The 23,069-nt window shown below is 36.1% G+C and overlaps 1 long non-coding RNA gene across 1 annotated transcript in view, besides 1 other annotated feature; it reads left to right on the plus strand.

Moving 5' to 3' along the window:
* LOC124901047 (uncharacterized) overlaps positions 1-23,069 on the plus strand; it is a 192,316-nt gene that overhangs the window by 20,288 nt on the left and 148,959 nt on the right. The window lies entirely within an intron of this gene.
* Positions 20,440-20,941: an enhancer, noted in NCBI's record as "NANOG hESC enhancer chr5:113182507-113183008 (GRCh37/hg19 assembly coordinates)". NCBI's record gives its function as "activates a minimal SCP1, AML or CMV promoter by ChIP-STARR-seq in naive and primed H9 embryonic stem cells {active_cell/tissue: H9 hESC(naive and primed)}" and the evidence as "EXISTENCE:reporter gene assay evidence [ECO:0000049][PMID:30033119]".

Raw genomic sequence — 23,069 nt, forward strand, 5'->3', positions numbered from 1 at the left:
ATTTAGGGGAAAAAGTCACTCATTCGTATAAATATGCACAATACCTTCTATGTGGATAACCATTTTTTAAAGGCCCTTAGTGGAAGTTATATATGTCACCTTATTTCATAACTCATGAATATATATATATATATAAGATGGAGAGAAATAGTCTCTCTGTATTTCAGGAGGAGGAATTAAAGGATTTAGTGTCTTATTGACTTAACCAAGTTAAAGACACTATGGTAGACATAGATCTTATTGTATCAGCCCAATCTTATCAAACTTCAGTTTTATCACTAAATTTTAACTTACTTAATTATTTTAATGTGTGCAGAGATTTAGCTGATAAAAAATCCAGGTGAGAAATTAAAATTTTTGCTTTGTTTTAACCTTGATAACAAAGTTTAAATAATGACACTAGATGATTGCTATTTCTGAGGTACTTACTTTACTCAAAAACTTAATATTTTCTTTCTTAACAGGATAATTAGATTTGTAGATATAAAATATGAGATATCCTTTAGTCTACTCAAGTTCAAGTTTTTCCGTTTCTAGTTGTTGTCTTATGGGAAACTTGGTTTCCCAGTATGGCAACACCTCTTTCTGAAGTCAATGAAATCAAATGGTAACTTGACCTCCTGTTGGCTTGTCCATTCTGCTGTTGGCCTTTAAGAAACATCCCCACTGGCACTGCATAGCCTTCAGTGCCAGAGCCTTGCCTTACTCTGCGTAGATCTCTCTCTGTCTATGCTATTCCTCTCAACTCCTTTGGCTTCCCAACTGTGGCTTGTTTTATGAATGCATTCATAGTTATTCAGTGCCCTGTTACCTTGACAGATGCTCCAGTCTGCCACGCAGCTATGACTTGGCTTTGCTTCTACCATACTGTTACCACCTGCCCCAGCTCTCATCCTTTTCTTTCCTCAGATCTAATGGTAATCTCATGGCGGCTTCCAGTGATTGGGTAAAGGGAGCAGGAATTCTCAGTACAGTAGCAAAGCTAGTCATTCATTCATTAAGTACTTATATGTTCTTACCATATATTAAACATTCTGGGTCATTTAATGGCACATAAAACAAATATAGTCTTTGCTCTCCGAGAGCCTGTAGATAATTGGGAAACCATAAATTGAACAAGCACACAAGTAACATATATCATTACAAAGTACATGGGTGGGTAGAGGAGAGGATTACTCCAGAAGGCATAGCACAGATAACAGCCCTGAAGTGGGGTAGAATAAGACTTGGCCTACAACAAGGACAGAGGCCAAGAAAGTGTGCAATGGTGAGCAGGGGAGAGAGAGCTGTGTTGTGCTATAGATTGTCCCCTGTATCCATTTCACCTCACTGTCAGTGAAGAAAACATGGAGTCTGTAAGCAAGGAGGTAGTGAAGAAGGGCCAAGTACCCTGTCCAATATAGTGTGGCATTCTTGGTGAGCCCTTACCTGTGGCCCTACCATGCTTTTGTTTTTTTCTGTGTGTATGTGAGGCTTAACACAAATCTCCTCCATGGGTATGTCTGGTTTGTTTTGTACCTCAAGCACCAGTTCCGTCTCTCCACTGCCTTGTTTACCAGCTTGATAGCCCATTCTCCAAGTGTTGCTCTATCAGCGCAACCCACTTTCTAGAATTTCTTGGCTATGGCCTTGTTTTTCTAGACTCCTCCCACATATTTGTGTCTTTCTTCTCTAGCTTGGCACCCTCATGAGCTGCCCTCAGAAGAGTATCACTCTCCCTCTAGATTGCTTCAAATGGCATTTTGATTTGTCAGGAGAACCCTGACACTAACCTGACTCCAACTTTCCTGACATGTTACAAAGATAAACTCTATCTATCTATCTATGTATCATCTATCTATCTATCTTTTTTTCTATACATCCAGCTATCTGTCTCCTACTGAGAACTTAGGCAGGTTACTTAACCTGTCTGGGCCTCAATTCTGCCATCTATAAAAAAGTGATAATTGTCATACCTCACAAAGCTTTTAGAAGTCAGAAAAAAACATGTTATCTATTTAGTATATTGAAGGTACATGATAGGCATTTATTAAGGTATTTTTTTAAGGACTGGTCATTTTATAGGTTGTGTTTTGATTCCTACTTTCTTTGCTCAACCTATTTTTTTAAATAAGATTTAGTTAAAATAAGATTTTTATTTGTATTTTTTAAACTTTTATTTTAGGCTCGGGATAAATGTGCAGATTTGTTATATAGGTAAATTGAGTGTCATGAGGGTTTAGTGTACAGATTATTTCATCATCCAAGTGATAAGCATACCACCTGATAGGTAGTTTTTAAATCCTCACTATCTTCCTTCCCTCCATCTTCGAGTAGGCCACAGTGTCTATTGTTCCCTTCTTTGTGTCCATGTGTGCCCAATGTTTAGCTCCCACTTATAGGTAAGAATATGTGGTATTTGGTTTTCTATTTCTGTGTTTGCTTGCTTAGGACAATGGCCTCTAACTCCATACATGTTGGAGTTTCAAAGGACATTATCTCATTCTTTTTTATGGCTGTGTAGTATTCCCTGGTGTATATGTACCATATTTTCTTTATCTAGTCTACCACTGATGGGCATTTAGATTGATTCCATGTCTTTGCTATTGTGAATAGTGCTGCAGTGAACATTTGTGTGCATGTGTCCTTATGGTAGAGTAATTTATATTCCTTTGGGTATATGCCCAATAATGGGATTGTTGGGTTGAATGGCAGTTCTGTTTCTCAAGTTTCTTGAGAAATTGCCAAACTGCTTTCCAGGATGGCTGAAGTAATTTACATTCTCACCAGCAGTGTATAAGTGTTACCTTTTTCTCTGCAACCTTACCAGCATCTGTTTTTTTTTTTTTGACTTTTTAATACTAGCCATTCTGACTGGTATGAGATGGCATCTCATTGTGATTTTTATTTGCATTTCTCTGATTAGTGATGTTGAGTATTCTTTCACGGTTTTTTGGCCACTTGTACATCTTCTTTTGAATAGTGTCTGTTCAGGTCCTTTGCTCACTTTTTAATGTGGTTGTTTTTTGCTTGTTAATTTGTTTAAGTTCCTTATAGATTCTTAGTATTAGACCTTTGATGAATACATAGTTTGCAAATATTTTCTTCCATTCTGTAGGTTGTTTGTTCACTCTGTTAATAGTTTCTTTTGCTGTGCAGAAGCTCTTTAGTTTAATTAGGTTCCATTTGTCAATTTTTTGTTTTGTTGTATTTGCTTTTGGTGTCTTTATCATGAAATCTTTGTCAGGTCCTATGTCTAGAATGGTATTTTCTAGGTTATCTTCCAGGGTTTTTATAGTTTAGGTTTACATTTAAGTCTTCAATCCATCTGGAGTTGAATTTTGTATATAGTGTAAGGAAAGGGTCTAGTTTCAATCTTCTGCATGTGGTTATCAGTTATCCCAGCACCATGGGGAGTCCTTTCCCCATTGCTTCTTTATGTCAACCTTGTCAAAGGTCAGATGTCAACCAGCTATTTTAAAAGCCATATTTCCTTACTATAATTTGTATGACTGCCTTATACATTCCTTGACGTAATCTGTTTGTATATAGACAATAATTTGTATTATTGTTTCATTCTTTTAAAGGACAATTTTATATGATATTGATTTAGACCTATTCTGGAAAGTATTTTGTGACAGCAAGTTGTAGTTCACTAAGCACTCCAGCATTAAAATTGAACTGTTGTTCTCTATAGTATTACCTAGAAGAATTACAGGATGTGGTCCAAAATAACTAAACAAAATATGATTTACATTATATGTAGGTATAATTGAGGACTTATGGTTTATTCTTCAACACATAAATAGTTTGCAAGTCATCAGTTCTACCTTCACAGCAAGAAAAAAGCTACACACTGAAAATCAAAACATCATGAGAAAATTGAGGTCTCAGGATAAACTGCTACTGGATAAATTGGAGAGACAGGCAAGTGAAGATTGCGATTGGTTTTGCTAAAGCATAAGTCGCTGGAGCCAGTAGCTGGTAGGAACACTTAAACAGCAGCTTCAAGGAACTGCTAGAGGCTGTGTGTAGAATAGCCTGAGAATTTAAAACTGCAGCTTGTGTGGGTTTGTACCTTAAGCAGTCCTACCAGGTTCTCATGGCGAAAATCAGAGAAAAAAACCCCTGTGTTTGGGCAGGGGGTGAGGAAAAATAATTATTTGGGGATAAACCCAGAGCATTCTCTATTAACAAAGGCCTATCCAGAAGGAGAATACGTTCAGCAGAGTCTTATTTGATGTGGGGGAAGAAAAATTACCCAAAGTAAAAGCACCAGAACACAGGCTCACCAAAGCCTGAGACCTAACCACAGGAGAATAGAACGCTTTTCCTCCCTACATACTTTACTATCACATCAACAGGGCTCCTGGATAATAATGAGATTACAGCTGAATGTACTGCAAAGCTCAGACTCTAGTTAAGAAGAAGTTTTTAGAGAAAGCCAAAGACAACAGTAACATCAAAAACAAGGACACTAGAGAAAATTTTAGCCTCTGACACCTACAGCTATAGCAAACATGAAACAGCCTAACTCCTAGCCTGATAAACATAACACCTCACACTGAAGATCTACCCACCTTAGCTCCTATTACCAGATACCTTATGTACAACTTTCAACAGAAAAACTACAAATTATACTAAAAGGCCAGAAAAATCACAACCTGAAGAGAAAAAGCAAGTACTGGAACTAGACTCAGCTATGGCAGAACTTTTGGAATCATCAGATCATAAATTTAAAATAACTGTAATTAATATGCTAAAGAATTTAATGGAAAAAATAAACAACATGCAAGAACAGATGAACAATAAACTAAGAATCAAAAGGAAATGCCAAAATAAAAAACACTGTGACAAAAATGAAGAATGCTTTTGATGGGCTCATGAGCAGACTGGACATTCTGAGGAAAGAATAAATGAGATTGAAAATAATTCAGTAGAAACTTCCCAAACTGAAAAACAAACAGAAAAAAGAATGAAAAAATATGCAGGCTATCCAAGAACTATGGGACAATTACAAAAGGTTTAGCATAGGCATCATAGGAACACCAGAGGAAAAGAAAATGAGAAAGGAACAGAAAAAATATTTGAAGTAGTAGTAGCTGCGGATTTTCTAAAATTAATGACAGAAACCAAACCATACAGTCAGGAAGCTCAAGGAACAAGAAGAAGGACAAATCCTTAAAAAATGAAATCTATATCTGGACATTTTATATTTAGGTTGCAGAAAACCAAAGACAAAGAGAAAATTTTGAATGAGCCCTAGCGTATATGCAGAGGAACCTTATCTTTAGAGGAGCAAAGATATGAATTACATCAGATTTCTCCTCAGAAACTATGCAATGAAAATCAGGGAATGAAATATTTAAAGTGTTGAAAGAAAAAGCTATCAACCTAGAATTTTGTATCTAGTGAAATTATTCTTCACATGTGAAGGAGAAATCGAGGCTTTCTTGGACAAAAACTGAGGAAATGTGTCAGTAGTATACATGCCTTGCAAGAAATATCTAAATAAATTTTTTTGAAAAAAAGAAAATGATATAAGTCAGAAATGTGGATCTCTATAAAGAAATGAAGAGTTTTAGAGAGGGAATAAATGAAGGTAAAATAAAATCTTTATTTTTCTTAATCATATCTGAGCTAGTAGATAACTGTCCAAAATAATTATAGCAATAATGTATTGGGTAGGTATAGCTGATGGGTAAGGGAAAGAATGACAGCCATGTTACAAGGGATTGGAGGATGGAATTGTGAATACTCTGTTATAAGGTACCACCCATGCAGTAATATTTGAAAGTGAACTTAGGTTAGTTGCAAAAAAAAAAGTGTATAATGCAAACTCTTGGGCAACCACTAGAACCAAACCAAGCCAAACAAAAAAGAAAGAAAAAGCAGTAAACATAATTCAGATGATTTAATTTTATTTGATACTCATACATGAAAAGTAGTTTTAAATTTAAGCTTGAGCCCTTATAAGAGTGAGTCTACATTGGGCTGTGGGAATATGAGGCACCCAGCTTTGGAGGGCTGGGGTCTTGTCTGCACAATTCTCTTAGTGTGCTGTGCTGATGTCACTTAACCCAGCTGGGCTGTGTTTCCTCATTCACCCATACGGACACAGCATTACCTGCTTCACAGTGCTGTTGTCTGGCTTAAGTGAAATAACAGATATTTAAGGGTTTTGGAATTCTAGTACTCATTTCAATTCCCTTTTTCATTTTATAACCTTTTTTTAAAAAAAACCATTTTTTCAGGCAATGGAAAAACCTTAATAAATAAGCACTAAACTTTATAAGTGTGCTAAGCAAATGTTAGTTTTTACCCTTAGAAAGCTAAATATGGAAGCAATTTTAATGGAAGAAATGGAATATTTTGTCTGGAGGGTTTTTGCCATCCTTTACTCCCTGAGTTTTAGGTTATAAATATTAAGGGTCCTGTGGTCTAATATGCTACTTGTTGGCTTTACTTTAAAAGTGTTGCTTCTCATTTCCTCATGAAATACGTGATGAGAGTTCAAATGGGATCTAAAATATGTATTCACTGAGATTTCAAAGGTAAATTCTTCACTTCTCAAAGTGAATCGGTAATAACTATACTAGTTGTTTGGTTTGGTTTTGTTTCAACTGTTAATGGAAATAAAATCTTCCAAAGAGTACGTGTTAGTCATAAACACATAGTCATCCTACCCCGTTAGAAATGTACTTTGTTTCTTGATTATGGTGATGATATCACAAAGACATTTGGCTCCTTGCAGAGGATTCAAATTTGCATTTCCAAGCACTGACTATAAGCAGAAGGGACATTCATTGAGAAGTTCACAGACTACACCTAGAAGGCAGTGCATTGAGAGGGTGAAGGAGGACATGGTATGGTAGGTAGGTTAAACTTGCTGCTTATCTAGTCAGTTTTAAAGTCAGAGCTCATGCTGCCCGAAGCCATTACATTACTTTCATCTCTGTCTTTTCAGTGAAGAAAATTAGGTAGGGAATGACCTGGAGCAGGGCAGAGCTGCTCTGCTGTTGCTATCAGATGTGAGCACACAGAGAACTGCCAAAGGAGGAAAGTCTAGAGATACCAGGAGATGATGCCAGGTACTTTAGTCATAGTGTCAATGAAGGAATTTGATATTATATAAAGGAAATGTGTATATAAAGCTGGCCCCACTCAACACCAGGGGGTATTAAGGTATACTGAGCGAAATATTGTGAAGAATTGGGGAAAGTCTATGGCCAATCTCATGGCTTTGAACTCTCACAGAGTTCAAAATGAGCACAGATATGGAGTTTGTGAGAGTGAAAAGAGAGGGAAGATTTTAAATAATTCTATTTTGTAATTTTAAAGTTAAGAAGCTGTTGATGTTATTTTTAACTACACAGACACCTCATTTTATAAAATGCTAGTGTGACTGAATTAAGTCCATGGTTTTTCATATGGTTTTGTTTTGTTTTGAGATGGAGTCTCACTCTGTCACCCAGGCTGGAGTACACTGGCATGATTTTGGCTCACTGCAAGCTCCACCTCCTGGGTTCACACCATTCTCCTGCCTCAGCCTCCCACGTAGCTGGGACTACAGGCACCTGCCACCACACCTGGCTAATATTTTGTATTTTTAGTAGAGACAGGGTTCCACTGTGTTAGCTAGGGTGGCCTCCATATCCTGACCTCGTGATCCACCCGCCTCGGCCTCCCAAAGTGCTGGGATTACAGGTGTGAGCCACCGTGCCCAGCCAAGTCCATGGTTTTTAATGTTCAATGACTTAAAGTTATAGGCATTGATTATAGGATAAACTAACAGCCAGAGTCAGGTACTTAGGAAATAATTATAAAGCCCTTTTTAGGATAGTTTCTAAAATCAGTGCATGGAAACATGGTGTTCATGGGATGCACTCAACTTTTTGTTAACAGAGAAAGCATCCCATGTCATAAATGCAGATCTAAATGCTGGAGCATGGTGTAGTTAAAACTCTGCCCAAGGGCTGCAGGTCTGTAACGATTACAAAATCCTCTGGATCCACACCATGATCCTACATGCTAGCTTCCTGATAAGATAATCTCCACAGTTTTTAAAGCAGCCTCCCACACAACAGGAGAATTATCTGGACACAAGACGTAATCAGACTCAAGACATAGTCTCCTCTATTGACAATACATCAACTTCCAAGGTGCAGAGTTCTTCTCTAGGCTTCAATGACAAGATTCCTTTCTAGGGGCAAAGAGGAGTTCAAGGTCAGCTTATGTAGTTAGGCTCTTGTTGCTTCTTTACATCTGGATACTTGAAATATAAAATGGATTCAAGCAGCCAGTGGTGGGCAGCTGGTGCCTGTCCTCTTCCATGTGGTTTTCTCTTGGTGTGCTCTGATTCCGTGGGGAGGAGGGGGCAGCTTGCGCAGTGGCTTCTCTGGGGCTTTCCTTCTCACTCCTCCCAGGAAATCATAATACTTCTGTCAATTAAAGGTAGTTTCAAAACCTCCTTAAAACCTATTCTGCTATTTTTTTTTTTTTCACCAAGACCCGAATAACCTCAAGTTGTCAAGCTGGCCAATGATTTGTCATCCTCCTCTCATAATGTCTTCTTGCTTTCCTGTTTCTCCTCTTATTTTAATCTCTTGTCAAAACTCAGGTCTGCCAATCAATTCCTCTTGAACTTATTCTGTCAGTCAGCTTTCTTCTTTAGTCTGGATGAAATCTAATTTGTGTTTGAATGTACATCTTGTAGAACTTGTATTTTTATACCCTCCTCACTATTCTATTATAAACCAGATCTTGGAAAAGCCAATTATCTATACCTACTCAGTTTTCTATATACAGCCTAAATTAATATGAACCAATATGCTGAATCATAATTGTTTTAAAAAAAATGATGTATCAGTAGTTTGATGGAATATTTTCTTCCATCATGCCAGTTCAGGCTTCTAATGAAGGTTTGGATTTATTTTTCCTGAACTGTAGTCTACAGCCTTAATTACAAGTGATTGCTGTATCATTTTCTTTCGCCTTGCTTGTGGCAGAGTGATGTTTGCTGTCTGCAGCAGTAAAATCACAGGGGAATTTTTCTCTGCTTTGAACAGCAGCAAGATTAGGAAAGGAACCCACATGCTTCCCATATTTCAGGAAAAAGGAAGAGGGACATTTTACCAGACCAAGTTTTTATATCAACATTGGTACAGTGTTCATTATAAAGAATTTTTGTAGTATTTTAAAGTTATTTTCTTTCTCAAATAATGTTAGAGAATATATCACGCACTCAGGAAGCTGCCCTCTGTCTTCTCTGGCTTTATGAGCTGTGTTGGTTGCTCAGCTGTTCCCAACAACAGGTGATCACTCTCAGGTGATTTTAACAACATTCCCTTGCATATAAAGTCTTCGGTGGCATGGGAAATTGGCAACTAAGAGACTATTTGTGGCTTAACCTTTCTGGTCATAGAGTGGAAAGAGCAAAAGACTGAGAAGGTAGGAAATGGAGTCTTTTATTACACCTGTCACTAAAAAACTGTGTGACCTTGGGCAAGGCATTCAGCTTTTTTTGAGCCACGGGTTTCATATCTGTAAGAGATTCAGAATTCTCTAGAATTCCAAAATTGTTATGACATTCATTAGAAAGGGTTGATTTTGTTCTTCAGATCGTGTACGGAGGATCTGTTGTTGAGTAGAGAACTTTAAAATGGCCTCATCTACTTTCCAATAGAAATGGCTTTCTAAATATATACTGCCCAAATTTTGGTGAACTCTTTCTCTGTGTCAGACTGCTCCATTCTTTAAATCTTATTGAGAATGAAATTTATTTCTTAATAAGTGCAATGTCTAAACAGTATTTAAATATTACCACATTGCTTTCAGCCTCTATCTCAAGTGGAGGGTTTCAATGCTCCCAGCCTGTAGCTCGGCCTCTACAGGCGATTTTCTGATTATGGATCCTGGTGGTCTCTTTTTATGATCTTTTCTGGGCATGAGAAGGCAGAATTGGTAGTTTAAAGTAGAAGTCTGTTTCCCTTCCCCTGCACTTAAACCCTTTAGGCAAACACCATCCAAGACAGCCTTTATTGACAAGCAAGGGAATTCACCTCTCTCAAAATAGAGTAAGGGGAAAAATACTCACTAGGGCAATAATTTCAAAATTTTTTTTCTCACATATTCAGTAAAAGAATTATAAACATTTATGTAACTCCTTTCCCACCAACATTTTTAAGTTGGTAACTCTTTTCTTTGATCTATTTATATAGTTGAAAAGAATTAGAATTTCTGGTGCACTGTAAATGTTACATTGCTCTCTTAAATCTTTTTAGTGAAATCTAAATGCCTTGGAGATTTGATACTCTTCTTACAAGATATATAAGAATTTTTCTTGTAAAGAAATTTTATATCACTCCATTTTTTTTCTCAGACTTGTGTTTTTATTTCATTTCCTTCAGAAAACTTTATCCCAATGTAATGTATTTTATGCTTTTATTGGTCACTCAACTACACGTCTCTGCAATAAAAATATTTATATAATATTAAATTGTTATTATAGTTTGCTCTTGCCATGATATTGTTTTTAAATGATTAAAAATACACTCTTCTGGACTGAGTTACTGTGATATTTGTCTCTACATAATTAATCAAAATAGAATATATGTTTAACAATTTTGATGAGTGACTTTAAACATAAAAGGTAAAATATTTTTAAGAAAATTTATCTCCTAATAAAATGAATGGGACCTTTTTGTTCAGTTAGTTTATGAATCCATAGACAAATACTGCTCATTACTAGAATAAAATAGGGCTATCACTTTTATTTATATTTTTATTTTCTCTATATAAGCCTCAAAATCCATGTTTTCATAAATAACTATGTAGGAATGAAAAGAGTTTTGTTATAGCAATGACACTGAATTTTTGAACTCCTAAATTATGAATCCAAATTACATAGTTATATATTATCAATAATCATTTTTAATAACATATCAGCTGATAACCTGGTTAGGTCCTCCTTCCACTTCGTTGAATTAAGGGAATGGAAAACCACCTAATTTCCCAGTGTTTTTGTTATTGAGCCTTTAGAGCTTTCCTCTCGGAGCTTCTGTTTCAGAGCTCTGGGGTCTCCAGGACTAAGTGATTATGATGCATTCTTTTAAATGTAAATTTGATCATATCACACACTTGACATCCTTAAGCTTCTCAGTGTCCCTTTAAAGTGTGTGCTCAGACCAACAGTTCTAGCTTCACCTGGGAACTTGTTAGAAATGCAAGTTATCAGCCAGGCGAGGTGGCTCACGCCTGTAATCCCAGCACTTTGGGAGGCTGAGCCGGGTGGATCACGAGGTCAGGAGTTTGAGACCACCCTGGCTAACATGGTGAAACCCCGTCTCATCTAAAAATACAAAAAATTAGCCGTGCATGGTGGCAGGCGCCTGTAGTCCCAGCTACTCGGGAGGCTGAGGCAGGAGAATGGCGCGAACCCGGGAGGCGGAGCTTGCAGGGAGCCGAAATCGCGCCACTGCACTCCAGCCCTGGCAACAGAGCGAGACTCCGTCTCAAAAAAAAAAAAAAAAAAAAAGAAATGCAAGTTATCATAAACAATGCTACAGTGAACATGGGAGTGCAGCTATCTCTTTGACATACCTATTTCAACTTCTTTAGATATATACCCAGAAGTGGGATTGCTGAATCACATAGTAGTTCTATTTTCAAATTTTTGAATAACTTCTGTACTGTTTTCCGTGGTAGCTGTACTAATTTGCATGCCCACCAACAGTGTACCAGAGTTTTTTTCTCTACATCCTTACCAACATTTGTTATCTTTTGTTTTTCTGATAAAAGCCATACTTACAGGTGGGAGGTAATATCTCATTATGATTTTAATTTGCATTTCCCTGATGACTAGTGATGATGATCATCTTTTCATATACCTGCTGGCCATTTGTTTGTCTTCTTTTGAGAAATGTCTATTCAAGTCCTTTACCTATTTTTAAATTGAATTATTTGTTTTCTTGCTATTGAGTTATTTGAGCTTCTTATATATTTTGGACATTAACTGTCTGTGGGATGTATGATTTGCAAATATTTTCTCCCATTCCATAGGTTGTCTCTTCATTCTGTTGATTATTTCCCTAGCTGTGCAGAAGCTTTGTAGTTTGATAAAATCTAATTTATCTATTTTTGATTCTGTTGCCTGTGCTTTTGGGGTCATATCCAAGAAATATTTGCCCAGCCCCATATCAAGAAGTTTTTCCACTATATTTTCTTCTAGTAGTTTTATAGTTTGAAGTTTAGATTTAAGTCTTTAATCCATCCATTTTGAGTTGATTATGGTATATGAGGTGAGATAAAGGCCCAATTTCATTTTTATGCATGCAGATACTTAGTTTTCCCAGTGCTATTTATTAAAGAGACTGTCCTTTTCCTATTGTGTGATCTTGGCACACTTGTTGAAGAACAGCTGACTATAAATGTGTAGATTCATTTCTGGGCCCTCTATTTTGTTCCATTGATCTATGTGTCTGTTTTTGTGCCAGTATCATGCTGTTTTTGTTACTATAGCTTTGTAGTATAGTTTGTAGTCAGGTTGTGTGATACATCCAGATTTGTTCTTTTTGCTCAAAATTGTTTTGGCTATTTGGGATGTTTTGTGGTTCCATAAGAATTTTAGGATTGTTTTTTCTATTTCTGTAAAAAATGTCATTGGAATTTTGATAGCAGTTACATTGAAGCTATAGATCACTTTGAGTAGTATTCACAATAGCCAAGATACGAAACCAAACTAAGTGTCCATTAACGAATGAACAAATAAAGAAAAAGTAGTATCTGTACATAATGGAATGTTATTCAGCCTTATAAAATAAGGAAATCCTGTCATTTGTGGCAACACAGATGAACCTGGAGGACTTACTAAAATAATCCAAACACAGAAAAACAAATACTGCATGATCTCACTTGTATGTAGAATGTAAAATAATTAAACTGATAGAAACCCAGAGTAGAATAGCAGTTACCAGCGGCTGGGGTGGGGAATGGGAAGATGTTGATCAAGGGCACAAAGTTTCAGTTAGAAAGACTAAGCTCTGGAGATCTAGTGTACAACATGGTGACTATAATTAATAATAATATATAGTATAATAGAATATTGCTAAGGGACTTGATTTTAAAAGTTCTCTTTACAAAAATGGTAAGTATGTGAGGTGTAGAATGTTAATTAGTTTGATTTAATCATTGCATAATGTATACATACATCAAAACATCACATTATACACCATAAATATATGAAATTTATTATTTAATCAATTAAAAAATAAATAACTAGAGATGAAAATTATTTAGCTCAACCCCAGGTTTATTAAATCAGAATGTCTGGGAGTGGGACCCAGCAATTTGTGTTTAATAAGCCCTCGAGGTGATTCTAATGCACAGGTATGCCTGAGAACCACTGACTTTCAAGATAGAGTTCAAACTTGGGAACCGGATATATAAGAATTTTCCCTGTCTGAATGTTGCCAGTCTCCCTATGAATGAATTCATTACTTTAGTCATACCAATAGAGTATCCACTCTCCAGTCTCTCTTTTACAACAATAAGATTTTAGGTTTGTTACAAAATTATGCAAAGTCAGACTTTTTCCATGTTATTACAGTTTATTATACCCACTCTTCTAGTGGTTTTCAAACTATATTAAGAGTCTTTTGGAAAAACTGATTTTAAATGCAAATTCCTGAAGCCAGCTCCCGAGATTCTGATTAAGTCTGGGTGAAGCTCAGAAATGTATTTTAAAAACAACCACAGCTGGTTTCTGACTGAAGGCAAAACCACCACTCAGAATCACCACTTAAAACCAATGAAGGGTGGAGAAAATTTAGCTCCTCTTTCTTGATGACCACGTTGGCACCTCTGTGAGTTAGTTTAAGAGACAACATCTGTGTATCACTCTCTCCTTACGTAGACAAAATACTAAGCCTAAAAAGACATCCTTCAGTATTCTAACAATCTGTGAAAATGCATGGTTATTCAAGAATATTGTCTGAACTTTATTTTATATGCATTATCTTAAAGCAACAGGGGAAAACATGAAAAATACATTAAATGTCAAGTAAGGTAACGTCTAGTTTAAATTTTTTTTAAAGGTAAAAAAGGTCTTTCTATTAAACTGTGTGAGAATTAAGTTTAGGTAATTAGAATTGGTTCTTAAAGTCAACACTGGCTTGTTTTGGAAAGAAATCAATGAGGTTGTGGTAAGGATTAAAGCTCTTTATTTTTATTTTTGGCATATACACTTGTCCCAGCATGCCTTCTCCACTGAATTACCCTCTAATCTCAGTCAAAACGAATTATTCATGTAGGTCTATTTCTGAACTCTGTTCAATTGATCTATGTGCCAAATGTTTCCCAATGCCAAACTATCTTGATTAATGTAGCTTTTTCACAATTCAGATAGTGTAAGTCCTTCAACTGTGTGTGTTTGTGTGTTTTATTTTTCCAAAATTGTTTTGGCTATTCTAAGTCCTTTACATTTTACATACATTTTGGAATCAACTTTTAAATATTCACAAAAACAGCTTCCTGGGACCTGGATTGAAACTTTGAATCCACAGATCCATTTGTGGAGAATTGACCACTACGCTGAATCTTTCAATTCATGAACATAATATCTCTCTCCATTTATTTAGGTCTTTAAAATTTCTTACAAAAATCTTTGCTTTTTGGTATAAAGTTTTCATATATTTTGTTAAATTGAATCTCAACTATTTCTTGTTTAGTTTTTAAAAATGATCTTGCTTGTATTATAACCAGTATTTAAAAATTTTCCATTTTAAATCAATTTTTGCTCATGTATAGAAATACTATTGATTTTTTGTATTGGTTTAGCATCTTGTGACTTTGCTAAACTCCCATAATAGATGGACGGAAAGTTTTTATAGACTTGTTGGTATTTTCTATATGTCTTTATTTTTTCTTGCCTTATTACATTGACTGGAACCTCTAATACAATGTTAAATAGAAATAGTAAAAGCAGACATCATCTTCTTCCTGCTCTTAGGGAAAGCATGTTCAGTCTTTCACCATTAATTATGTTATTAACTGTAGTTTTTAAAAGTCAGTCTTTATGAAATAGAGGCAGTTCCTTTCTATTCCTAGTTTGCTGAGAGATTTTTTTACCACAATGGGTATAAAATTTTGCCAAATACTTTTTCTGCATCTATTGAGAGGTTTCCATTGGTTTTACATTGCATATATATTTTATATTGGTGTTGATGATCTAGCAGCTTTGTTCTGGTAGGAGAAATCACTTTCTGATATGAAGGGAAATTTTAAAAACTGAGCTATCATTTATGATCTAAAAAAAGACCTTTGTGTTACATAGTATTTCTCTCTGATATGCTTCATGGCTTTGAATTATTATAATAAACAGGTCAATTCTTGAGTTTTTTCTTTTATTTATGCTAATGCTTCGCATTAGGAATCAATGAGATTGGCTTATCTAAATTTAGTACTGGCATTCTTCTAGGCAAAGTAATGAACGGTAGTCTTTCTTTGCAGGAAAGGAAAAGAGAATTTATCTTGATTGAGAATTCGCTGTTCTCAGGTAGTCTCTTTGCATACAGTGTATCATTTAAATTTGTTCATACAACATACCTGGTATCTAAGAGACATCATTCAGTTTTCAAATGAGGAGGCACACTAAGAAATGTACTTACTCATACAATGAATCAAATTTATGCATTTTTTTAATTTTAAAAACAATGTTAAAACATGACACATTATTTGACAAATGAAGAATTGAATCCCTTGTCATCTCAGCACTCTTATGCAGTCACTATTTTTAGAAACTGATGTTGATTTTTCTGTCTAAACATCTACAGTACCAATATGCAGAGCCATTTTTAAGTGCTTATATATAATTTTTTAATACTTACCATTTAATTAAGTGTGTGTAGGGAAGAAGTGTAGGTAAAACATCTGGTACAATATGCACCAATAAATGACAGCTATCATTATCATTATTATTGCCATTTTGTGTCTTGATCATAATATGGTCTTCTCAAGGATGTAGACAATGTTCTCTACATCTTTTGTAATCTCCAATAGTAGTCATTGCAATGCTGAACACAAGGAGGTAAGGGTTGTTTTTTTGTTTTTTGAGACAGAGTCTTGCTCTGTCTCCCAGGCTGGAGTGCAGTGGCACAATCTTGGCTCACTGTAACCTCAGCCTCCCAGGTTCAAGCGATTCTCCTGCTTCAGCCTCCCACCACAACCGGCTAATATTTTGTATTTTTTTTTAGTAGAGACGGGGTTTTACCATGTTGGCCAGGCTGGTCTTGAACTCCTGACCTCAAATGATCCTCCTGCCTCGGCCTCCTAAAGTGCTGGGATTACAGGCGTGAGCCACTGCTCCCAGCCTGAGGTAAGGGTTTTAAGAAATACTTTTTGGCTCATTGGCTGGTTGATGAACTAGCCCAGGACCTTTGTTTGGCAGAGCAGGAGCACTATCTGTCCAGGCTTGGCATGAAGGAGAAATGAGAAAGACTGAAATACTCTGGTGATGGCAACAAACAGAATTTTGGAGCACATAATATTGCCTCTTGCTTAGAATATTTAGTTGCAGGACAGAGGAAATGCCCAGTTACTTGTAGGAACAGAGCATTATAGTTTGTGGCTTAGTGCAGAATATTGGGTGCATAATATATTCTAAAGGTTTAATTGACAATTTAAAAACATTCTCCATTTTAAAAACATCATTTAGAGATAAAAGAGAAAAGTACTTGTTAAAAAATCAGTTATTCTAGATTGTTATATTCTTCTTTCCTTACCTTTTCCAAAGTATTGATTCATTTATTAGCACTTTTGCAAATAAATTTAAAATACATTTAGTTCTTCCATGATTTTAATGGCTCTGTAAAATTTCCATTAAGATCAATGATAAACTACATGATGGATATTAGGATCAGTAGTCCAAAAAACGATTAGGTTCAGGGTCTAAGTATATCATATTATATGTTATGCAACCTCTTTAACATTTTGATTTTGGTAAAACCGTGGTTAATGATAAATATTATAAACATTTTTACTGGATACCTTGCACTGGAGGGAAAATGAGCTTATATGGGTAATGCAGCAGGCTGCAGAATGTATGCAGACAGAGTCGTGGAAATTATTCTGTTTCTTGTTTTCAGAAAATTTATGACCTTATCTCTTGAGCTTTTTATATCAGCTGAAAGAGACACCTCTCTTCCCTATCCTCTAAATTATTGTTCTAGTCCAGGCTAACTACCCCATTTCACATTTTCTCAGCTCTGGATCCTTTAAAAATATGTAAATTATTCTTAGCCTGGTGTTATATTTAATTTTGTGGCTATTTCATAGTACTTCCTAAGTTACTAGGCACAGGTAATAATAACTACAACCATACTTAATTGAGCACCTATGCCAGGTTTGATGTTCAATGTTTAATTCATCTTAAAACGGTTTTCAAGTGAACTTATTCCCATTTTATAAATGAGGACACTGAGGCTGAGAGACTTTAAATAACTTCCTCAAGCCAAGTGGTAGATGAAGAATTTGAACCCAGGCTTTAATGTGGCTACTCTCATTCAAGTATATTCATTTGAGTATATTTCAGATGAGATCTTGATGGTTCTCTGTGTTCTTGTATGTTAAATTAAAGTTGAACAATATAATTTCCAAGATTTTTCCATGTCTTGATAATTTATAAATTTTATGAATTCTAAGATTAATCACAATCTTGCAAAGAAATATGATTTTTGGCATCCATACTCTTGATTTAGATACACTCCATCCAGGTGGGTTATCTTTAAAACAAAAAGGGCTTTACTCACATGTGAATATGTATATATGTGTACATACAAACATAGGTAGTTGTGATATCTTCTTTAGTGTTCAGTATTTACAAGCTTAATGAAGATTTTAGAAATTGTGAGGTATAAAAACCCCTAGAAATATGCCACTAACAGGTTTCTTTGAAAATATAGAAAATGTTTTGATTATTGTTTGGTAATTGACATTACAGAGATTAGGTATTTTTCCCAAGTGGTTGAACAAATAGATGTACTGTCATTAATGATTAGTTCTATTAACTGGATTGATAGTCTTTTCTAAGGGCCCACATTTAAATACTCTAATTAAAAAAAACTAATTTATTTCAACAAATCACTATTAAGTGAATCTCAAGTTGTCTAGAATTTGTGTTAAATAGAATCACGAACTGTTGAGTTTACTTTGGTGGAGGAAGGCAGTGTATCCTGGGAACTGAAGACCTTATTAATTTTGAGAAGTAGGTTGGTGAGCAAAGCCACATTTAATCTGGAATAACTTCTGTAGTCAATGAAACAGAAAATACAAATCCTGTTTCTGAGGAAAGTATATTCAGTGATGACTCAGACGAATGCTGGGGCCTGATAAGAGGGCTCCTTCAGGTTTTTAATTGAAATGTGACTACAACAAGGAGTTGACAGAAATCATCTCTGATTTCCAGATAAATGCACAAATCCAATGTCATTGAAAGGCGATAAGACAGATTTCCAGAATAGGGATTTGAAAAGTTCCTCCCATCCTGCTTATTCTGAAATAGGGCACCTCCAATGCAACCTCATTTATCTGACAACCGAATTTGTAATGGGTATCCGGGTGTCTTTGGCAGTAAAGTGGGATTATTTCCATTTCCTCAGACTTTTTAAAGCCCCTTTTCTCCCTGTAGCTATATAAATGCAAAGTAATAAGATAATAATATCAATAGCTAGTATAAGGGCTTTCATGTTAGTTACTAGAGCAGAACACTCACCTCTAAGGTTGTTTGGTTTCCTGATGTGCTAAGCAATGTGTCTTTCTAAGCAAGATCGTAATATTGACAATCATCTCATATTTACCCATAACGCCTCAGGGCAGATGTTGCACAGCATGATATGTGCATGGGGAAGGAAGTAGAATGGGTGTCCCTACTACTTCATTCCCCAGAAATCAAGCTTCTTAAATTTGATGCAAATCAGAACTAAATGTTTGTGTAGTATAATGTCACCTCCTCTCTTCAGTGTGGCTTAAACATTTGTTCCTCTTCTGATCAGTCATTGTATGCAGGCTGCCCCAGAAAGGAGCCCCAGGTGAGGAGCTCTTTCCAGCTGAAGCAATTTCTGGAGAGAGTTGATAGTTGGGAGTTGTGAGCTACAGTGCTTCCTCAGAGGTTCCCATCCTTCAGCCCTGTGCCTTTGAGGATCTGGGGAGCACACCCTAGCGTTCAGTTCCCCATGTGATGGTGGTGCTCCAGAGCCATTATTTGGGCTGAGCCTCGAGATGGGAGCAGTAGGTGACAAGGATTTATTTTTTTTCCTGCAATTTTACAAGAAAAATCTGGAGGGACTTATATATACTAATGTGTTTCAGTCCTATCTTGAGGTAAAATGGTAGAGCTGCTTTTCTATGTTTCCTGAATGTCTGATTGCATATTGTCCTTTTATGACTTATAAGTCTAACACTGATGTTTGTTTTAACCTAGGTTTACCTGTATGAATACCTTGAGAAAATACAGACATTTGTCTTGGACATCCCTCCATCCCCAGGGATATTCTGAGGCCTTTATGAAGATACTTGGAAGATCCTAGAACAATTTCTCATAGATTTATCATTAAGCCATCTGCAGCAGAAACTCCTAAAGGAGTTTGTTGATTCTCAGGACCACTTCATCACTAAAATATAATGAGTGGCGGACCAATAGATACAGTTTCTAGGCCAGAGAATTGGCATTTAACAGATTTTCTGGGTGAATCCTATATGCAATAAAGTTTAAAAATATCAGGCCTAGAGAGATAATTATGTTCTTCAGGTATTCCTGGCTGGGCACAGTGACTCATGCCTATAATCCCAGGACTGTGGAAGGCTGAGATGGGAGCATCACTTGAGCCCAGGAGTGCAAGCCTGCAGTGAGCAGTGATTGCCACTGCATTCCAGCCTGGATGACAACAACAAAAAAAGATATTCATGAAATATGCACAATTAATACTGATGAAAGTGTTTTAGTCTACCCTTTCCAAGGGCCTAGACAATTTTTCATAGATCATGCAAACTTGGCTTTTTATCACTGACTTCTTTTTAAGGGTTTAGTAAGTAATTGTTTAAGTAAGTGAAGATATTAATTAGATGGTTTTATCTAAAGCATTTTTGAAACTTTGCTATCTTGAGCAAACTTGTAGTAAAATCTCCATCTTTAATTATTGAAATATTTGTGGAGGTGAACTGGGAAAATATCAAAGAAAACACACAGCAAAAATAATTCTACACCCTCCATTAAAATTTTCCCACTTATAGGGTTTCAAATTTTGTAACTGTAGACTAGTGACATGTGTCTCATCAAGAGTATAATGGTATAATATTTTTTAAATTACTTATTGTAAATATGCCAGATTGCACATTAGAATTGCATTTAGACAGCTGATTCCTTAAGTCATAGTCTCTAGAGGATGAATATTGGAGATCACTGCTTTTATCCTTGTGGAAGTCAAAATAAAATGTAGAGATGAATTTATAAATGTAACATTTTATTTGGGAAGAAAAAAATTGCCATTTGGGGCATACACTCAGGCTGGGTGGTCTTTAGTATGTCTGAAAAACAAAGAGGAGTTTGGAAGTTTTATAAAAAAGAGAAATATTACCTACTGTTTTTCCAGAAAGTTCATTGGCCTTAGTGAAGTGTTGAGGAGGTGGCAAGCTCTGATTGATGAGTGATAGCAGTGGGTAAAACTAGTCTTACAGGTAACTGCAGGTAGTTTCAGAAGCCATTAGATGGACACAACTGGTTTCAGGTTACAGCAAACAGTTTTTTTTTTTTTTGCAAGGAGGCTTGCAGAGGATTACATTCTTGGAGCAATGTTACCTGCCTTGAGTGCTCTTCCCCCGGCTTCTCGACTGTGTTTCAGTTGGGTATGACAAGAGTGACCCGATTTCTATCATCAACTTTCACAGCCTCGTTCTACCTGATTTACAAGATTTTGTCACGGTTGAGGAGCCATTTTAGTTAATTCTACCAATATACAAAGTTCATATGAGAACCTTTTCTAACAATGCTGAAAAATGTATCAGGGAGTTGGGTTCAAGCACAAAGATGGAAAAGTGCATTTATATTAGCCCTTCCATCTCTGTCAGTTTAAAATATTTCCATTTGGCAAAGAGATGATACAGGAGATAGAATTAAATTATTTAGGCAGATAGTGAGGGCAAAAGAGTCCTTGGCAGAACTTCCCTTCTAATAAAAAGCAGCCCAAGAAATCACTTTTTTTCTAACAAAGAACAGCCTGGAAGATCAGGCTTCAAACATAGATGAAGAAGCTGGAAGCTTGCACGCAGGGGTATGCCGGCAGCTGCACAGATATAAAGGGCTACCCGGGGGCTACCCGGGGCTAGGCATGTTCACCATGGAGGCTCCACCTTCCCTTTTTTGTTAGCACATGCACAGTAGGAAAGAGATAAGCAACATGGAGTAGTTCAGGCAGAGGACCCACCTGCATAATAAAAGACTGGGGGGGGCGCTGTCAGAGATTCAGATCCTCTGCAGATGTCACATCTGGTTCTAACCGGTTTTTCGTGCCCTATGTAGATCAGGTTCCGCCTTCCCACTAGCTGTCTATAAAAACCCTTACATGTCACCGCAGATTGGCAACCCATTTTTCCGGGACCTCTCTCTGTGGCACAGAGCTATTCTCTTTCTTTCGCCTATTACATTTCTGCTCTAAACTTCACCCTTTGTGTGTGTCCACGTCCTTGACCTCCATGACTGTGAGACCCAGAACCTCGGCTGTCACCCCTGACAACGAGGCTGCTTCATAGATGACTTTAATTCATTGTAAGCTTCAAAAATGGAGCATTTTCTACAGTTGTCACCATGATTTATACCATATAAAATTATTATTATTGTTTATTGTGACCAGACCTTCATGTATGGTAGGTTTGTCTTCGTTAACGGTTAAGGAACACATTTTAGATGAGTATTTGTCAAAGTTGGGCCAGAAAGGCTTTCTTTTTAAGAAAGTAATATAGTGCTTCTGAACCTTGCATTCCCATGAATTACAGAATTCATACAAATCCACGATTAGGTGCCTTTCTTGAATGCCACCATTCATTTGCTAACCTCTTATCCTTTGTCTCTATTTGCCAATATAATATCTACTCTTGGAGTCACAGAGTCTTAACTGTCCAGCTAGTTGATTATGTTTTCACTGTATAGTTTGTAGGGAGTATAGGATTACATAGCACAATTTTTTCTTGTAGGGTTTTGGAAACCCACTCTATATTTGGAGCTGCTCTGGGAAAAATTAAATCAATTTCACAGCACTTATTAATGAAATTATCAAGATTTTATAAGCTTCATGATTTTGGTTGCTATACTTTTGCCATTTTATTGCTTGGCATTACTTAGTTACAAGGGAAGATAAAAATGTTGAAATTTAAACCAATTATGAATGCTGGTTTAAAAAAACATGAAAAGCACTTACAAGGGTGGATTTAACATCATGACAAATTTTCTGTATATTAAAACTTTTGTGTTATCTCTGCCATTGATTATTGTGGGTGGAGTGCTGGCTACAGTAACTATTCAAAATCTTTAAAATATTGTGGGATCTATAGATCCTACAACTTCTCAAGTTCCACAGTTTTAACTTTATGTGATTTCTCACCTTACAATAAATTATGAGGGAGCCCTTTGGAAATGCTTTTTACTTTATTTAAATATTTAATCGACAAATAAAAATTGTATATGTTTATGGAGTATAGCATGATTTTTGATACATGTGTACATTGTGGAATGGCTAAATCAATCTAATTAACATAGCCACTACCTCATATACTTTTTTGTGTGTATGAGAACATTTAAAATCTACTCTCTTGGCAATTTTCAAGTATATAACACATTGTTTTTTTAAAACCGCTGTTAAGTGTATATTTCAGCAGCATTCAGTACATTCCCATCATTGTTTAACCATCATCACTATCCAGACATTTTTCACCATACCATACTGAAACTCTACCCATTAAACAATAACTCCCCATTTCGATCTCCCCTGCAACCCCTAGTAATCTCTTCTATTTTGTTCTATGAATTTGACCGTCTAGGCATTTCA

Source organism: Homo sapiens, chromosome 5 (genome assembly GCF_000001405.40).
Source record: "Homo sapiens chromosome 5, GRCh38.p14 Primary Assembly".
Lineage (NCBI taxonomy): Eukaryota > Metazoa > Chordata > Mammalia > Primates > Hominidae > Homo > Homo sapiens.